This window comes from Homo sapiens, chromosome 11 (genome assembly GCF_000001405.40).
Source record: "Homo sapiens chromosome 11, GRCh38.p14 Primary Assembly".
NCBI classification, from domain to species: domain Eukaryota; kingdom Metazoa; phylum Chordata; class Mammalia; order Primates; family Hominidae; genus Homo; species Homo sapiens.
The window spans coordinates 115,333,096-115,353,701 of record NC_000011.10 but is presented as its reverse complement, the minus strand read 5'-3'; the positions used below and the strand labels follow the sequence as shown (position 1 = coordinate 115,353,701).

Here is a 20,606-nt window from a genome sequence, read left to right as displayed (position 1 = left end):
GATAAAAGCTGGATTGGATTATGGATTGAGGCATGAACTCAAGTCACCCTTCAACTTCTCTGCGTATTCTATCTCAGTCTGGGAATCTTACTAGTTTCTGGCCAACTGCACTAAAGATTGAAGTTGACATGAGAGAAGGAGCTTGCTAAGAGTTGATTTCAAAGAGTGGCATATATAACAGTCTTGCATTCCATTAACTGAACCAAAAGAAAGCTTTAACAAAATGTTATGGAATTAATTAAACTTAAGTTTAAATAGCAACATGCCGCTATTTAGATTTAATTAAGTAAAATTAAAACTTCACTTCCACAGTTGCACTTGCTACATTGCAATTCTCAATCGCTGCATGTGGCTAGTGATGTCTGTATTGGACAATGCAGATGTAAAGTATTCCCAACACAGGAAGTTCTGTTGGACAGTGCTGTTATAAACACAGTAACATGGGTCATTCATCACCAGTACATTACAGAGAAGATTTCCCTAAACATCTCTAATGTGTCCACTCATGCCAGTTAAAAGAAATCCTGTCTGTACCCATTTCCGTTTTTCTTGAACAAAAACACTTCTCTACATCTTGTAGAAGCTTAATTTGCTAGAATTACATAAATAGAAATTATCAAACTCAAAAAGCCTTTAGCATTTTCAGTCCAGAACACAAAGATAAGGAAATAATTCAAAAGTTATCTCAAGAGAAATCAAGTTCGCATGCACGCATATGTTCACTGCAGCACTATTCACAATAGCAAAGACATGGAATCAGCCTAAATGCCCATCAGTGGCAGATTGGATGAAGAAAATGTGGTACATATACACCGTGGAATACTATGGAGCTGTACTGCCTGGCCTGGAAATCTGGCTGTGACAGGCACTAGCTGAGTGAAACTTACCTCTGTCTTACCTCGACTGCAAGATGGGGATAATAATAATAATATCTATTTCATATGGCAGTGGTGAGGATTAAGCCAATTAGTGTAAAATACACAAAAATACTAAAAACAGTGCCCATCACTGTACAATGCTGTGTTTTTTCTACCTTCTCCTGCTCCTCCTCTTCTTCTTCCTAAGTCTTCTCTGTTGTTTTACTAAGAAACACATATTCTTTGAATATGGAAGAGAAAGGAATTTACTTTGCTCATCCTGTAATATTTTTCCTGGAGATGAGCTCTTAGCTGGCTTCTGGGAAAAGAAAATATTTCCTCTATTTTATCCAGCACTCTGCATAGCCTGTGACAGTTATATAAAAATATCAGTTTAGATGTGTTAGAGATTGTTTTAGAAGACTATTCCATGTAAGCCATGCATTGGTTCATTCATTCATTCTTGCACAAGTGCGTGAGGATTGCTTCTTAAATGCAGGGCACTATATCTGCATCAGATGGGGACTTAGAATCATCATTCCGTGCTGACAAGCCCTCTGCCAAAGGGATCAGTACTCCACTTTTGTATAGAACTGGGACAGACTTTCCGTCACAATTTTGTTATGAAACTGTCAGGTGAGATGTTGCACTGAATTCCCTTTAGTAGATTTATACAGTTTCAGAGATTTTGTTATGGTAACTTGGGGGCTTTTAATTTGATTTTATTGGATTCTTTTTTTAGACTCTTAAGGCAGTGGTGTTTTCATCACTACATCTGCACAATTTGTTATTGGCATTATTGGGAATTGCGGATGTAAAGCAGTCTATGACTTTTGGGAATATTAATAAACTCCTAAAGTACTTGTTCAATTAGCTTCTCTGACCTGCTGTCCAGAGGTTGAGCTGTCATTAACTGAGGAAGCTTCCTATGGTTTAAGTGGTGGTGAGGAAAACCATTGTCTTTCTTCCTCCTCATCTTTGTCTTGCCTACTTCATTCACTACTTTCTTGGGAGCAGTGCAGGAAGAGGCCGTCCAATTCCAGAGCTGCAGAGGGGCTCCTATGCCCTAGAGAATGAGAAAGAGCATGCTGGTTAGGTTTTATATTACTACTGTGCCTATTTTTGATTAAGAGAATGTTTTCTGTGTGTCCAGAGGTTTAAAAGATTAATAATTTATTTTACATATCTGGAGAATTGCTTCTCTCTGCCTCAAGCATTAGGGCCAGAGTTCTGTATTTTGTTTGCATACAATTTGAAGTGTTTTCTCTAGGTCTTATAGGGGAGAATCTGAAGACTTCATTGCTCGCTGATTTCAGTCTTACTGATGTTGGGCTCTTAGATCAGCTTGCTAGAATACAAAAATTATTCTTTTATCGTGACACCAAATTCTGTACCCTGGGACTCCAAGTGGCCATTGAAAGACTTGGGTTTAATGTTAGTGCCTCATGCTATCAACTGCCTATCTGTTGTGAAATTCTTTTGTTGTCAGATTTGTCGTTTCCTTTTCAGATAGTAGATCATCTGATTTAGAGCATGAAGGTACGTCTTCCTAAGTTTCTATGACAGAAAGATATTGAAGAAGAAGGAGAAAAGCCAAATACCAGAGACCAGACAAGGTGGCAGGAAATTGCAAACATGGTGGAATTTCCAGTCTTTTTCATTTTTTGAAGTCACAGATAATTTAAAAACTACTCGCTTTTACTTTTTTTTGTTTGTTTCCTTGCTTTTGCAACCATGTCTATCTGCCAACCTTTCTAAAATGTCATGATGTAATTATTTTAACAGGCACTGTATGCTCCTTTATTTGGGGGATATTAACCTTTCTAAACAAAAGGAATGTTAATATACACTGGAAACACAACTAATGGGATTTCATTTTTCTTGTTAGGCAAGAAGCTTGACTTTTTTTTTTTTTTTTTAACTTCTCGTAAAAGAATGCGGCAAGTGAAATAATTGCCTTAAGCTAATCCATGATAGCGATTTTAAACGTGACTTTCCAGATCACTTTTATATGGCTTAGAAAGAATAATGTGATTTTCTTGTTTTTGTTTGCTTTAGCTAAACAGTGTTGAAGGATGATATAAATTCAATGAATTCAAAACAAAGAAAATGCTAATTGCTAATGCGCTAAGTTCTTTTAAGGCATGAAATACAGTGTTTAATTCATAAGCATTGTTTCGTTTTATATAGATTTAATTTTTTTTTTTAGTTAGTATGGGACAAACTCAGAATAAATTAGCCAGCTAGCCATTTTCTTAATTATTGTGTATTCCTATTTGATGTTTAAATATATATGACCTAAATATGTTGTGGTTTTTATTAAAAAAAAAAAAAAGAAAAAAAGAATGGTCATAGGCTCTCAGATAGTGAGGCAAAGCACTTTTAGGATTTCTACAGGGCACCTCCTCTCTCCCTGGCTTTCCACCTCTCCCCTTCCCTGCCTTCTTCCCTCCTTCCCTTTAATATCCACTGAACCATTTTCACATACTTCCTGAATCACCCTTTTGACCAATAGCATGCATTTGCCATGGCATGGCTAGGCTATACATCTTTAATGTTAAAGATGGTAAGGCTGGTCAGGCGCGGTGGCTCACGCCTGTAATCCCAGAACTTTGGGAGGCTGAGGCGGGTGCATCACCTGAAGTTGGGAGTTCGAGACCAGCCTGACCAACGTGGAGAAACCCCATCTCTACTAAAAATACAAAGTTAGCCAGTCATGGTGGCACATGCCTCTAATCCCAGCTACTCGGGAGGCTGAAGCAGGAGAATCGCTTAAACCCAAGAGGCGGAGGTTGCAGTGAGCCAAGATCATGCCACTGCACTCCAGCCTGGGCCACAAGAGCGAAACTCCATCTCAAAAAAACAAAAAACAAAACAAACAAAGAAAAAGATGGTAAGGCTATGAAACAAATGAAGACTAATTGGCCCATGTGGTGTAAAGCCATGACTTTGGCCTTTTTATTGTGAACTACCTCCCCGACAGTTCCATAGACATGTATACTCTGAACAAAATATGAGTCATTAATCCCTCTAATGGAGGGACCTAGAACAGTGAAATAGGGAGGACAGGAAGGAGAATGATGCTGAATTGAACTGGGATCTTCTTGTCTGTCAAGCCCTTGAACAGCTTTCCCTTTAAGCAACAAAGATGACAAGTTTTTGCTATTTTGGATTAGTGAGAGTGTACGAAATGGTTTCCCTTTCCTTCCAGGCAAAAATACCAACAGAATCTGGCTTCGGAATGAAAGTGCTAATTTCATTTGGTGACTTTCAGATTTGAAATACGGGCTTGAACAGGCATTGTGCATTAGTCAGCTGAGGCAGTGGAGGTTATTTTTACGATGCTAATTATTATTTCCTGACAGTGATTTACTTTATGTTGTCTACTGTTTACGCCCCCAAACTAGCCATTGTTTTAGGAACAGAATTGGTTGGGTTGTCATGCTCTTTTCAAAGACAAATCTTACTATTTTATGCATAGAAATACTTTCCTGTAATAAAGAAGAAAGCTTTATTGAAGAGAATCTTGCATATGAAATGTAATCTGGATAAATATTCAAAACTAATAGGTTTATATTTTAGTCTTGATTTTTAAAGTATATTTTTCTGACATCCTAACCACCTTGCTTTATGTGCATTAAAGTTAAATCTGTTTTACTGGGATGCGGCTGAATTTTTGTTACTCACATTGAACTTAGAAAGGAGCGACACATATAGTTAACAAATAAATACAAAATGAAATCGAATATAACCCCTTGATGCGTAAAGGAAGATAAGTGGAAGACAGAGTTGATTGCATGTCTGGAAGTATATCTGCCTGATTTATGCTCTAATTTTAGTACTGAGTTTCCTTTGTAATAGTAAAATGTCACATTAGCATGTCCCTTTTAATAATCTAATATGCTACCAGTGACAATAAATACATGCACTGAGTCTAGCTCACGGTTTCTCAAACTTCAGAGGCCCATGACCCTTCCCGATGTAGTTAAATTGCCCAGATGACCCTCCTGTCATATATTTTTAATTGTAAAGCACTTGAAATTAATCATGTTTTATTTCTTTTTAAATAAGCACCTCAAGAGCAGTGGTGAGCAGTTTTGCTCACGGCACTTATCCACTCTTAAAGAAAATTAAAGATTGGAAAGGGCCTTGCGTCTCAGTGGCAGCAAAGCCATCTACATGGGGGAAAACATAGCAGACAAGAGCTGCGTTTGATACTCCTCTACACAGTCTCTTGCCTGTGCACTTAGTGAAAATTGGCACCGGTGAATATAACAAAGTAAAAGCATTTTGAATTATTACCGCAAGCCTTCAAGTGGTCATAACCCAAGATTTCAAGTACCTCAGTGAAGGGTAAGGTTTTCTACAATTTGTGTGGTAACTGAGTGCCTTTAATTTAAACTACACGGAGCTAATCTTTAGGAGAATTGGAATCTGCCTCTGAACTAATTATGATTTACAGAAATTGATAATTTGTCTTCTGCATGTGTCTGCAGGAAGAAATTACTATTAAATTTGATTAACAAATGACAGATTTCAGCCTAGTAATTTACCATCTTTATTAGCAAACTTAGAAAACTTCTTATAGTAATCTTTTCAATCATGTCAACTCTATTCTGGTAGTTAAGGTTTATGTAGAAGTAACCCATGTGTGTGGCTTTAGTAAGAACCTACCTTACCTTTAACAAAGAAATCTTGGTGTGGTTTCTCTTTTCAATAGGCAAGCACTACTCAAACGCTCACACTGATTTCCCATGGTACTTAGAACTTAATAATAGGTAATTAACTTCCAAAAATGAATAATCTGTTCTTTTGAATACATTCCTGCACTCCCTCAAAATATATGAAATTGTGTAAAAGGAAGTAGAGCATTATATCATATGTTCGCCTTATTTTTCGTGCACCACTTTGTCAAATGTTTTTCTTTCTCTTCAAACAGATTGTAATTGTGTAATGGAGGATACTATTGGCTAAAGCAGTGCCATATATATGATTGACATTGTGAATGATTCTGAATCCTACTTTGGATGTACATAACTGAGATGTAAAACTATTGTAGCATGGCAGTATAGTGAGGGCATTAAACTTTTCCTTACATGAGTGACATGGTGTAGTTTTCAAAAGTATGTTAATGTACATGTTTTTATATAGTTGAAAAAATATTCCATTGCACTAAGCAGCCTAGCAGAATTGTTACAGTGGTTAAAAATGCCCTTTTATATTTTCATGTCAGGAAAATCTTATCTTCTTGCATGTCAAAAAGGGAATTTGAACTATTAGCCTTTAAAGACCCAGAGGTAAAGTTTAATTTTATAATGACATAAAATAAATGTTCTATTATCTAAGTAATAGTTCACCAGAAAAGTCTGAAATGGCCTCCTTTCTCAAGGATGCAGCTTGTATGTGATGCTAATATTAAAATGGACCTGCCAAATTGAGTGATGGGAGGTGCTAATAACTCCAAGTGGGGAGATGAAAACAACATATTGCACACACCTGCTCTCAGCTTTATGTCAGTCTCATTAAGTTATTGAATGGGTGAGTATAATGGGGAAGGAGGGGAGTCAGACGTATGCCAAGAAGCAGTTGGGGGGGCTAGTACCCCACAACATGATGAGTAAACGGATTGTCTTTGGCGCAGGAAGCCTGCTTGTCACTGTGGTTCATCCATGACCTTTGACCTGAGGATGCAAAAGAAGTTTAGATTCTTTATAGCAGTCTATCCTGGAGCGTTGTGTTGGCAATGAAGATTGTTTTATTCACTTGTACCCGCATCTTAGTTTACTGGTGTTGCATTGAGAGTATATGTTTATATGCTTATTTAGTTTAGGTACTCTAAATTTCGTTCTGTCTCTTTCACCTTTAGGATGAATCAATAGGGTTTTTTTTTGTTTTTTCCTTCTGACAATGTTTGGTATTATTATTCTTTGTTAAATACGGCTATACATAGTCTGATCTGGGTCAAAGAAAGTCATTCAGGCAGTTTGCTAACAGTTGTTGCTAGTAATGGTCACTCTTCTAAACTGGAACAATTGAACACCAACAAAACAAAAACTTAGGAACTGAATTGTGGGGCAAGCCCATATAAGGTGTGATGGATTCTGGGGGACTCCAGAGGTTAGCCGGTGACCCTTTGGCTTGATCCGGGCCTCTCTCTGACAGCTTTCATTCATTTTAAAGAAACCTGGGAAAAGTTGATATTCAGAAAGTGCTGGTTAGCTGTCTGTTACTCACCCCAACAAAAAAGAAGTTTCATGAAATGTCTTTCAACAATGGAAAAAAATAAGAAAAAACAAAACAATAAGCAGGCCAGGTGTGTGTGGTGGCTCAAGCCTGTATTCCCAGCACTTTGAGAGGCTGAGGTGGGGAGGATAGCTTAAGGCCAGGAATTCAAGATCAGCCCGGGGAACATAGCAAGACCCCATCTCTATAGAAACAACAAACAAAAACCAAAAACCCACAATGGCTTCCTGAAGTTATTTAGAGTTGATTTTGTAATGTTTTATGAAATTTTACCCCAGTAGGTTAATCCAATTCTGTTTTGCTTATTCTGACTTTGACATTCACTTGCAGTCCTTAAGCACGTATCTTTTGAATACAAGCCAAGCCATGCAGTGGGTGGCAAGGTAAGTCAATTTGGGATTAAAAGGCTGTCAGGGATAATGCTGAACCACATGTGGATATTTGAGAGGTGGCTGCACCCCACTTTGCTCTCTGTCCAGCTTGCAAACCGAAGTCTCTGGAAAAAGGAACTTCTTAAGGTAATATGATTCACGTGAGCAGAAGAGCCCATCAGAGGCTGTCTGGTTTCAGTAGAGATGATCAACAGATAATGTACTGAATTGGTAGGCATAATGAGGATACAAAGAAAAGACATCCTGGAAACCTAATGAAGACTTCACTTTATTATCTTTTCAGATAATTGCTTAGATGCATGTACATTTTCCTTTTAAATTTAGAGTTAAAAAAAATCAAGTTGAAACACAAACATAATTTTGAGTGAAGAAATGCTTGAGCATCTGGGAGGTAGAGCAAGAGGGTCCTTGGAAGGGTATGGAGCAGCACAGTGAGGCTGTGACAAATGTCCCCCTAGCCACTGGCCTCTATCAACCCAAAGTGCTTCTCAGAAAACAAATAATAAAACAAACAGGATGTAAACATCAGCAACTTAAGTACTTGCCAGCTCAGTTGTTGGGAGTGGGTAAAGCTAAAGATTAAAGACAGCTTGACAAAATCCTACACACTATCCAGCTGAGTTTTACACATTATGAGATGTGGTAGGACAGAATGAGGGTGTTTAAAAAAATTATTGCTATTATGCAGCTGGAGGGCAATGGGCTGAGTTGGGAATATGCCAGGAGAACTTGTGCTGCTTGTGTAGATAAACTTACAGGACTTCAGCTTTCAACCCCATCCAATTCTTTCTGTCAGATTCTCTTAACCTTGTCCTGTCCCTTGCTGAGCACTGACATTTTCAGAGCAGAGGAAAATCATGTTAAATTTATGTATGAGGAGGGGTACATCTGTGTGTATTGCTGTACTCTGGTTTTAAATGTTTGGGCTCTTTTGATTAGTTCTGCCCTTGGTTTATTTTGTAGTCTCAGAAGTGCTTATAAACCAGTGCTGGTTAAGAGTCTAATTTAGCTTCTCCTCATGTTCTTTGGTCAGCGTGGTGGCAGTCTTTTGTGGTCGTGCAGAAGAGCCTCAGCCCCTGCTGTGGGACAAAGGGGACCAAATTGTTTGCTGTCCCTAGACAGCCTAGGCCTGTTGCAGCCCAGATGGTGCTTTTTGTCAGTTTAGTTTATTGGGATTCTGCCGAATACTTTGTTTGATGAGAGAGTTTTAACACTGAAGAATGCATGAAAACCTGGGATGCTGGAGAATTGTGAGAGATGGGCTTGGAAAGGAAGATTCAAGCCAAATTGTAGAGTACCTTGAAACCTGACAAAGGGGAATATATTTTTATTTTATCTGTAGACACGTAATGGGGAAACATTGAGGATGACTGAGCAGGAGAGAGACCATGTGAAGGATGGACTGAATGGAGACTTGTATCAAAGAGTCTGAGTATCAAAGACTTGTATTAGAGAGGGTTGTTGTAGTAATCTAGTCAGGGTATGAGAAATGGTTTGTATTAGAGTGTCAGGAGTAGTCGTGGCAAAAATATATAGATCAGGATGAGGGATGGGCCTCATCTCACACCCTGACTCCAGTCAATGGCAGTGGCTCCCTGGAGTACACTACTATAGGAAGGATTTTGTAAAGTTTTGTCTGGCCTCAGTGGAGGGTGAGGTAGGGGAGGAGTTCTATGAACAGTTAGTGGTGTCTGCCATGGTTGAAACAATGGAGAAGGGGGACACCTTTTCTGTGCAGATGTTGCTTCTGGTAGATATAATCCACAATGTAATGGGAGAAGTACTAAGAATCAGTAAATTATGGAGGGTGTAAAAGACTACTGATATTTAAGCCTGGCGGACCGGACTTAGAGAAATGATAGTTAAAGGAGAAATATCCAGCAAACAAAGATATGACATTGAAGTTTGGGACTGCGATTAGTACCAGAGATTGGATTGGAGGTGATTTGTATAGAATGGATAGGTGATTTTACTCTTGCAATTTGGATTGAGGGTGGGAAACCAGAGAGGGCGGGGGTAAATTAGTAGAGGTCAACTTGAATTCTGTGTCCATATCAATGCTGAACTGATTGTGAACATTTTTACATCTTGAGTCACATTGTAAGGAGACCAGAAGTGAATTGAGCATAGTAAGCATTTGGAAGTAGGTGAGTGTTTGGGGTTCTCTGTCTACAACTTTTAAATTTTAACAAAGCTCCACGATACTCTATTTAAACTCTTAAATATTACCTTGTTTATTAATTACCAAATTTTAGTACTGACTTGAGCAACAGGTCTCTTGTCTGCTATTTTGAGATTATATAGAATATTGACACTAAGAAGAAACTCAATCGTAACTCCTATTAGAGAAGAAAAATAACTCAGAAGCGTTAAAGTTTTGCCCAATATCACAGAGATAATAGGTAGCATGGTTGGGCCTGAGACTCAGGTCTTGTGATTTTCATTCTAAGTGCTTTTTCTGTATTCGATGCTATTTTTTTTTTTTTTTTTACAATCTGTATGATACAGATTTGAACATTATTTATAGAAATAAAGGATAAATGATGTGTATAATCTGATAGAATAATTTTGAGAAATGCAGATATTGATAGTCCCCAGCTTTTTCCCTTTTTATTGTGCTGATTCATTTATATATTCATAAATGTATTTAAACCAGTCTCTGAATATTTAGGTCAGTGCTAGTCATTTGCTCTTATAAATGGGAAGAGACTGTATAAGTTAACCAGACTGTCTAGGTTTAAATCTGAGCTCTTCCATTTCTTACCTATGAGATCTTTGATAAACTTCTTACCTTTGTGTTCCAGTTCTCTTATTTGTAAAATGAGGATGATAATGGTGCTTACCCCATTGGGTTACTGTGAAGGTTAAATGAGGGTGGATATGTAAAGTACTTAGAACAGTCTTTGGCACATGGCAAGCTCTATATATGTAAGATCATAGCCTTGAGAGTTGACCTTTTGGATTCAAATTCTAACTCCATCTTTTACTAGTTGTTTGACCTTGGACAATTAACTTAATTTTTCTAAGCTTAGATAACAGTCTGTACCTTATAGGGCTGCTACGAGAACTCAGTGAGATAATGCAGATAAAGTACATTCTCAATGCTTGACTTCAAATAAGGACACAATACAAGATAATCATTTTCATTATTACCATCATAATCTTCATAATGAAGAATAATATGATAATGAACATCCATGCACATAACCCCTTGTATCTCTTCATGAATGTTTCCTTAGGGTAAGTTCTTAGAAGTGAAATTGCTATCTTCCTCTTGACTTTCTACAAGGTCTTTAATCTTTACAAAGTTTTGTATATTGAAAAAGACAAGCTCTTATTGAACACATAGTAGGTGCAATTTACCAGCATAGGCAGAGGAGGTTATATAAGGTTGAACATTTCTTTGTCTATATTGACTTTGTAATCTAGTGTGAGAGTTAAGAAATGAAACTAACTGTGGTAAAATATGCAATGTGAGATATATCTTTGAAAAGGGACAAAGTACTATGGAAACACATCATTTGAAGAGAGAAATTTCAGCAGAGGGAAATCAGGAAAGACTTCATGCAAGAGATGAAAAAATTAGATATCTATGATGCATAGTGTTTTGATAGATGAAGATAGTGAAGCATATCCTTGGCATAGCAAGGTTTGTCATATGGCCATTTCTGTCACTGGGGCCTTAGGGTTTAAGTGCATATACTAGCCCTTGACTTTGGAGACTTAGAGACCGGTAAGGAGCTTATCTTCTCTCCACTCACTCTGTTCCTCCATGTAGAATCTCTTTATCTTCCTTCCATCTCCTTCAGGACACAGGCAATGTTTGGATTTCCTAGTTTCTCTCAGAAACATGATACTACATCGTGTATTACTTAAGACAGATTCAGGCCAGAGTACACATACAACTCTTGAGTTGGTCAAATTGGAATTCAGTTTCTAGGTTCTCCATGATTACTTTAATCTGATTTATCTGAAGAAAAGTTAATCTGTTGGTATGATCTGATGGCAAGGCTTTACAAGTATATGTGTTTTAATGTAGTCGCAATTTTTAAGGTAAGTTAAAGCCTTTCCAGTTGTTACTTATTTTTCAGTGACAGGACAAATGGCTGGCATAATTTATTTTTGTTTGTAGATGGATATAACTGGAGATCTTATATATTGGGTATGCATTTTTTATGAATTTATAGAATTTTAGCCTAAGACGTTGGATTAGATGTTAAAGCATTTATGTTGATAAGCAAGAAGTAAATTGTATTCTGATCCAGTTTGTATAATAATGTGCAACCAACCCAATTCACTAAGTTTGTATTGGTAATTTTGCATTGCTATGGGACTTAAGTTACATATATAAGAGTTGACAGTTATTTCAGCATGTGTTAGACTTGAACTCCAGAAGGTTAAGGGGAAGTTCTGCTATTTATTTTCTGTTCAAAAACAGATGAAAAAAGGATCTTTATATTATTCTCTGTCACACACCGGTAAATACATGGTCTTCCCAAATCCACCACGAACCAATGCTGTGAGCTGCTTAGTTTGCTTGTTTCCCTAAAGCTTTCATGTGACAAATTTATAATTTTGTATGTTATTTCTAGGTCAACAGTTAGATTAATGTTTTATCTCCTGAGCAAAAACACAGTGCTTCTTTGTAAACTTTGTTATCTTACTGAAACTGAAAATTGCAAAACAAAGAATTTTCTAGTTCTCACATTCCTTGATGGAGAACAGTGTTTATATAGAGGTTATCTTGTGGTTTATTTTATATTCTACTTAACTTTAACATTTCTGCAGGTAGAATAAATATCCTATTTAAAGCTTTCAAATCTTATTAATTAAAGGTAGTTGTCATTACTAATTGTTTACTGAGTTTTATTTATTTTTGCTTCATTGTAGCTCATGAGGAGGCCACCTAAATTGATCAGAATATAAGCTTATCCTAGTCACTGAAATAATACTTAGTGCCGGCAACAGAAATATACTCAAGAAATATTTGTTAAGTGAATAAACTGATAATGACCTAGGAGGATGCAAGTCTTAAAAAGTAGTTCAGAATATGCAGATTTTACCATCAGTCTGAGAGTTGGTAACTTAGAACATTTTCTATTTGAGCTAGTATGAATTTAATTTTTTAGAATGCGACGATGTCATCAGTTCTTAAGTAGGCCTGGGAACTCATTCTTTTTGAAATATATTACATTTTAGAGACTTTATAACAACATTTTCTTCCATTTGCATGTATTGACAGTTTTTTATGTTCTGGCTGGTCACAGTGGGCTCATGCCTGTAATCCCAGCACTTTGGGAGGCTGGGATCACCTGAGGTCAGGAGTTTGAGACCAGCCTGGCCAACATTGAGAAACCCCCGTCTCTACTAAAAATACAAAAATTAGCTGGGGGTGATGGCACATGCTTGTAATCCCAGTTACTGGGGAGGTTGAGGCACCAGAATGTCTTGAACCCGGGAGGCAGAGGTTGCAGTGAGCCAAAGTTGCGCCACTACACTGCAGCCTGGGCGACAGAGTGAGACTCTGTCTCAAAAAAAAAAAAAAAAAAAATATATATATATATATATATATATATATATATAATATTTATTATGTTGTGTGACTCCACTCTGAGACCAGGGGAAATTTGATTTTAAATAAATCCCCCTTATATGGCGTATATTATGACCTGGCTTTTTTTTTTTTTTTTCTTTCCACAACCCCACCCCAAAACACTTAATACATTTCAGCAACTGAGTAAGCTTCATCATTAAAAACTCTTAGCATTGCCAATTCTAGTTATTTTTCAGAGTGTTCCTAGAAAGACACATCCTAAAAGAGATTGTCATGAAAGATTTTGTATTTCCTTAAAGGAACAATAGAGCTTGCATTTGTGATCAAAGATGGAACAGAGATAATCATAGAAGTGACCCAAATGCCATAAAAGCAAAAATACAGCCATAAACCTACACATTATTTTATCTTTATTTCTATTTAATAAACATTTTGGGTATGTACAGATATGAATCTTAGGTAGTCATTATGCTCAGGTTTTTCAGTCATTGAGGGAACACATGATTGCAGTGGACTCCAGATGTCGTCAGCCAGAGTTCAGGATTCACACGGGAACGCGAGCTTTATGGCAGCTGGGTAATTTGGAATCTCATCTTTATAACTTGGATGCCTGGTCTGGCATGGTAGAGTGGACCTGATGAGTAGGCTGATTTGAAATCTGATCTGAGGTACTTTAGTGATCTTATTGGAAACAAAAGAATAACTTAGAATACGTGGAGGGATGAATACTTTTTTTTTTCTACCTCTTTTATACTAAAATACTATGAATCTCAGTTGGGCATGAGAGGTAGTGAATTGAAGAGGGTTTGTGTCCGAGCTCTCTGGTCAAAGCTTGGATTTACTTATTCTGTGCTATAAATTAAAAGGAAATACACTCTCTTAATTGGTGGTGAAGAGACTTGCTGAAAGTTGCCCAATTTGTAATTAAACTTTGGATCTAATATTCTTTTTTTCATTTTCTATACTTTGATATTAGATAGCTGCTTGTATGACTATACATGATGAAATAATTGGATACATGTTAAAAATGAAAACTAAACTCTGCATAAGTAAAATTAGTGAAGAGGCAGAAGGTAGGGGTGGCCTCTATGAAGCAGGTATGAGAAAAGCTCCATGAAGTTATGATTACATTTGTTTGATTTTTTTAATTACACCATGTTTAGATGGTTATTTAAAAGAAGGTGGACATGAACTCATCATTTTTTATGGCTGCATAGTATTCCATGGTGTATATGTGCCACATTTTCTTAATCCAGTCTATCATTGTTGGACATTTGGGTTGGTTTCAAGTCTTTGCTATTGTGAATAGTGCTGCAATAAACATACGTGTGCATGTGTCTTTATAGCAGCATGATTTATAGTCCTTTGGGTATATACCCAGTAATGGGATGGCTGGGTCAAATGGTATTTCTAGTTCTAGATCCCTGAGGAATCGCCACACTGACTTGGGACATGGATGAAATTGGAAACCATCATTCTCAGTAAACTATCGCAAGAACAAAAAACCAAACACCGCATATTCTCACTCATAGGTGGGAATTGAACAATGAGATCACTTGGACACAGGAAGGGGAATATCACACTCTGGGGACTGTGGTGGGGTCGGGGGAGGGGGGAGGGATAGCATTGGGAGATATACCTAATGCTAGATGACACGTTAGTGGGTGCAGCGCACCGGCATGGCACATGTATACATATGTAACTAACCTGCACAATGTGCACATGTACCCTAAAACTTAGAGTATAATAAAAAAAAAAAAAAATTAAAAAAAAAAAAATAAAAAAAATAAAAGAAGGTGGAACAGACCTCTTTAAAATAGAAAGTACAGGATCTTACAAAGCATATAGCACTTGCAGTCTCCTCCCCTCTTCTTATCACTTTTATGCCAGGAAGGATTAAGAAATTTGAATATTTGGAGACAAAGCAGTGTGAGATGTAATTGCCCAATACTGAAGGAGAGTTGAGCCATAGCACACACCACAGTAGGGATGCTATAACCAGTTATGCAGGCGGAGACACAGTGTGCTTCCTACGTGTGAGCATCTGCCGTTGGTCAGTGGGGGCCTTCCAAAGGCTGAAGTGATTATGATACTTGAAAACATGTTGGGTTCAAGGATTTATAATCTATTTTTAAAAGACAGTAAATTCAAGGTAAAATAGAGTACACTGGTGTGTACCTTAGATATTAGTTCTTTAAGTCTTTCTCCAAATGGTAGTTTCTCTAAAATTTGAGACATGAACACTAGGTAATTTAGTATTAGGCAAATATTTAAACAGTTTAAATGAGTTTATTGCATCCTGGCTCTATTACTTACTAGCTGTGTAAGTAACCTTAGGCAAATTATTTGAATTTTTTGCGACTTAATTTTCTTGTCTATAAAAGATATTTAACAATGGTTTCTACCTCTTAGGGTTTTTGTGAATATTAAATGAGTTAACATATGCGAAGTACTTAGAATCGTTTCTAGCATATAGTAACACCGTACATGTGTTAGCTGTTATGATGGTGGTAATGATGTTCTCCTCCTCCTCCTCTTTCTCCTTTTCCTCCTGCTAACATTTGTAGAAGTGTGAACTTTCTCTCAATTCATCTACTCGCTTCATCTGAGAAGAGCCAGTCTTCCTGACCAGTATTTTACAACCCGAGATACCCACTTAGGGCCAACCAGTATGCTACCAGCTTTGAGCTTAGGTTATTTCCAACCAATCTCTTAAAAGCCGGAGTCAAAATTCAACCTCAGTTCAGTAATGGTAATTGTTTTTCTCTGGTCATCCCTAAGGTGATTTATTACTAGACGTATCAGTATGACCCTCTCATAACATTTTTATCTATTAAAAGTTTCCTGAGAAATGGATTTTTAATAAACCATTATCACAACAGCATTATTATCACTACTCCATGGTGTATTAATTTAACCACATCTGTGGCCCTCTAGTTTATTTATAGTATTGTGATAGAAGTCATGGGGAATACAAAGAGGGCAAAAAAGAAAAAAATATATGTATAACTTAGTTGGGAAGACATAACAAATGCATATCAAACGTTAAACAGCATTAAGAAAAAACATTAGTAAAGAGCCAAGGGAGGTTAGAGTAAGGAAACAGAATGCCTGCCCTAAGTCTTGGGGCAGAAATAGAAATATAGAAGGCAGGATCTCAATACACAGAAAGGAGGGGTGCAGGTCGAATGGTGGAGGAAGAATGTCTGTGGTGCATTAAGAGAAACCATGAGCAAGTTGGTTTCTCTGGAAAAGAGAGGTGCTGTTGAGAACTAATAGGATAGCAAGTTGGTAAGTTTGGAAGACAGACAATTATGTGGAAAGAAAGAAATTCTGTTACCTGCAACACCTAATGTCTACAACCTATCAAATTAGCACATGTATTAAGCACTGATAATGCCAGCTAAATCTCAGTCAGAAGCTAAGGAACTGGAGAACATCAAGGACCTAGTTGCAGAAGCATATCAGAGCTGCTGGCCCTGAAAAACCCTGAAAGAGCCGGGAATTAAGAATTTCATCTTTGGACTCAGCCAAGCTTAGACAGACTTGGTTTTAAACTCAGTTTAGCTACTTACTAGTTGTATTAGTGGAAACATTAATTAATTAATTCTCTGTACCTCAATTTCCTCATCTGTAAAATGGTGATAAGGTTAATTTGAAGATGGCATCTTTGAAATGTGTAAGGATTGAATGAAATGGGTAATTTATGTAAAGTTCTTACAAATTCAAATATATAGTCAGTACTTACTTAACGGTTACTAATAATAACAGCAACAGAGTATGTTTCAACCAGACAGAATAAGTTCAATTTAATTTTTTTTCATCTTGAGATGCCATGTAAAATGTTAACTAATGTTCCACTTCTTTAAGAAAAAGTTGGAAAAACACTCATACTTATTTTTAACCTTACTACTGTGAAATGACAGTGCTTCTAATTCTGGCTGTGAAATCTAGTAATCCTTTTAAAAGGATTAAATTGTGAACAAACACATCAGGAAAGAACTTAAATCTAGTGTTTCCTGACTTATTTTGGTTCTGATTAATTAAATTTTTTTCAGAAAGGGTAGAAACCAAGAGTAGGTATAATTGAAGAGTTAATCAGAAAATTAAATAAGGGTACTCATTAACCAAGTGTTTTAGTAATAGAGGTTTTACTGTATTAGGAGTTCCCACTTGTTCTTTTTCTGCAAATGTGGCAGTCGGTTTTATTTTTAAATGCTGACATAAATTGAAAGTCTTTTATAACCTCTGAAGCATGTTTCGCAAAGTGCAGTCCATGGATCCTTGGAGGCTCCCAAATTCCTTTTGAGGGATCGATGAGATGAAAACTGTTCTCATAATACTAAGACGTAATTGCCTTTTTTGGGTGTGTTGACATTTGCTCTGATGGTGCAAAAGCAATGGTGGGGAAAGTTGTGGGAGCCTTAGCCTGAATCGAGTTAGTGGCACTAAACTGTCCTAGAAGTCATTGTATTCTTCACCTCCACATACAGTAAAAAAGAATATCCCTGATGAAGCAGTAAAAATTATTAATTTTATGAAAGCTTGACCTTGAGTTACATGTTTTTAAAAATAGTTTGTGTGAAGGAGAATTACAAATAAAGCATTTTTGCTACATACTTGTCTCAAGGAAGAAGACTGGGGAGATTGAGTTAAACTATAGTTATTCAGACGCGTATTTGGCAGACATTTTCTGGAAAGCAGTGAGCCTGTCATTTTAAGAGAAACAATGGACATTGTTGTCAGTGATAAAATTAAAGATTTCAAGTGGAAATGTGAATTTTTTAAAACTTGCATCTTCCTCTGTGAACTTGACAGCTTCCTAATGAACCATTGACTTTTCTTATGATATTGGTGGTGATACTAATGAATGTGACTTTTTTGATACTGAATAATGAAATGTGTCACCATTTGGAAGAGTGCTGCATAACTCAGTGAACTAATATTTTCCAAATGACCAGTGCATGATTTTAAAACATCATGAGTGGCTAAAAGATCCATTCAAAGTGCAGGATTGACTAATGAATTTTAATGTGACAGAGTATGAGAAGTTCTTTGATGTGGTTTCAGATTCCACAATCCAATTTAACCATGAAGAAGCCACCACTTGTTGAGTTTTGGTATAGTATCAAAGGAGAATAAAACCATAATTATCTGAAAAGACTATTAAAATACTTTTCCTTTTACAACTATATATATACATGAGGCTATTTTATTTCCCATATACTTCAACATAAACAATGGATCACAACAGATTGAATGAAGAAGCAAATGTGAAAAGCCAATTGTTCTCTATTAAGCCAAACTTTAGATTTGCAAAATTCTTTTCTAATTTTTTTGCTGTGGAAAATGTAGTTATTTTCACAAAAACATGTCCTTTGTGTTAACACGCGATGGGTTTATTAAGTGGATTCATAAGATTCTTTAAAAAATATTATCAGTTTTATTTTTAAGAGTTTAAAGTGATCCTGACATTATGAACTTTGAGAACCACACCCCTGACGTGGTAAAATTAAATTTTCCTATGAATTTTTATGGTTTACCAGTGCATGAGATTGCCATCTTGTGACAAAATAGGGAAATGCAAGTATTTTTGAAAAGCTCATCTTTAAGGACTTGGAGTGATTTCTAATGACTACTTGTTGGAAATTTATCAAGAGAAAGATATAAGTTCAGATTTCCAAGGGCTATGTCTTAAAATATATGTGCCAAAAATATTAATTTTCAGAAGGTAAGCAAAAAACAGTTAATTAAATGCATATTTCTAAAGGGCTGACATTGGTTTGGGGCCAGTCTTCTGTTAAGAACACATTTAGTTTTTATGTTCAGTGTGTATATTTCCTATTACACTGAGCCCCTTTGTATGTGATGTTATAGACTACTCGAATGTGTATTTACTGTTCAAAACACTGATAAATGTTTGTGGTGATATTCTGGTGGCATATAGTTGTCCCCCTTTATTCTCAGGGGATGTATTCCAAGATCCCCAGTGGATGTCTGATTCTGAGGATAGTATTGAACCCTATACAGACTATTTTCCCTATACATACATACCTATGATAAAGCTTAACTTATAAATTAGGCACAATAAGAGATTAACAACAACAATAAAACAATTATATCAATATGCTGTAATAAAAGTTATGTGAATGTGGTCTCTCCATCACCTGATGGGGTACTCATCAATTGATGAGTACTGTACTCATCAATTTTTAGACCCCCATTGGCCCAGGGTAACTGAAACCATAGAAAGTAAAACTACAGATAAGGGGGGGACTACTGTATCATCACTTGTGATTGACTTAAGGTTTAGTCATTGGTTGATACCAGAAACTTGGCTGATAATATTCTTCTTTCTAAAGGGAAATGTGATCAATTCTTTATGATGTGGAGTTTAGGTCCACACTCTGGTGAAGAGTTTGAATTTGCTGCCCTTAAATACTACATCACTGTAGTTCTGTGTGATGTGTCCTGTACAAACATGCAGAGTAAACATTGTTCCTTGCCTTCTGCTTTCTTGAGCACTAAAATACACAGTGTAAATATGCACAAACATGTAGAAGGACATATAGACAAATACAGCCTTAGCCAAGTCATGAGAGATGCAGCTGCAAGAAACAGGCTCATGCATAATGAACATTTATGCTATGGCATAGCTTGTGTTTTTGCATCCATGAGCTGTATGAAAAGGAAGGAACCTCACTTCGTTTTCATTCAGTTAGAATGAAGGCCCACTGGTCAGTTTTTTGACTCAATTCAGCTGATTGTTTTCAAAATAACCTGTTCTTTTCTAACAGTTGTGTGTAGGGACAGCTGCACTCTGATGAAATGACTGTGAGCCTATACGCTAACTACTGTACTAATTTTCTGCCTATATTTACTATGTGCCCAGTGACTCTGCTGATGAATATTTTAGACATCTTCATGAATAATGTTACTGCCCACAGTAGAGCTGCTTGCTTGTTTGTAAGGCTGGAAATGCTATCAAGATGATACCGACTCCCATTCTATATACCAACGTGAAAATAATAAAATACCTAAGTAAGGTTGTTGGTCAAGATTGTCTTTGAGGAATCATGGATGCTCTGAAATTGGATGCCAAATTTTACATGTAGGTGGATGTGTGTTTTTGAGAAAACTCCAGAGCTTTTATCAGACTCTCCAAAGGGATTGTGATCTCATAAAGACTAAGAACCACTAGATAAGCTTTATAGTTTTGAAAGTGCTTCTCCATACATTTTTATTTGATCCTCCCAATGATTTTCAGGGAGGCATGTTGGGCATTCTCTCTCTTTCTCTCTCGATCTCTCAACAGAAGAGCATGACTCAGAGCTTAAGTGGTTTTGTGCTTCATCCTGTAGGCACTGGGAGCCTTTGAGGGTTTTAAGTGAGGAAGTGATCTGATCAGATCGTCCTTTAGAGAGATTGCCCTGGTGGTAGTGTAGAGGATGTTTTAGGGGAGTAGGAGGCTAATTAGGACACCATTGGGAAAATCAGGTAAGAAAAGATGGTTGGCCTTGAGTTTGTTGCAGTCAGATTGGAAAAGAGGGGAGGAATTTG

At 36.8% G+C, this 20,606-nt stretch overlaps 1 protein-coding gene and 1 long non-coding RNA gene across 7 annotated transcripts in view; one reads left to right on the top strand and one right to left on the bottom strand.

Moving 5' to 3' along the window:
* Positions 1 to 20,606, top strand: part of CADM1 (cell adhesion molecule 1) — a 335,180-nt gene that overhangs the window by 150,714 nt on the left and 163,860 nt on the right. The window lies entirely within an intron of this gene.
* Positions 13,263 to 20,125, bottom strand: LOC105369509 (uncharacterized). Its single transcript, NR_135108.1, has 2 exons — positions 20,084 to 20,125; positions 13,263 to 13,727 (listed from the first exon to the last, which is right to left on the bottom strand). It is a non-coding gene; the product is annotated as an uncharacterized LOC105369509 (long non-coding RNA).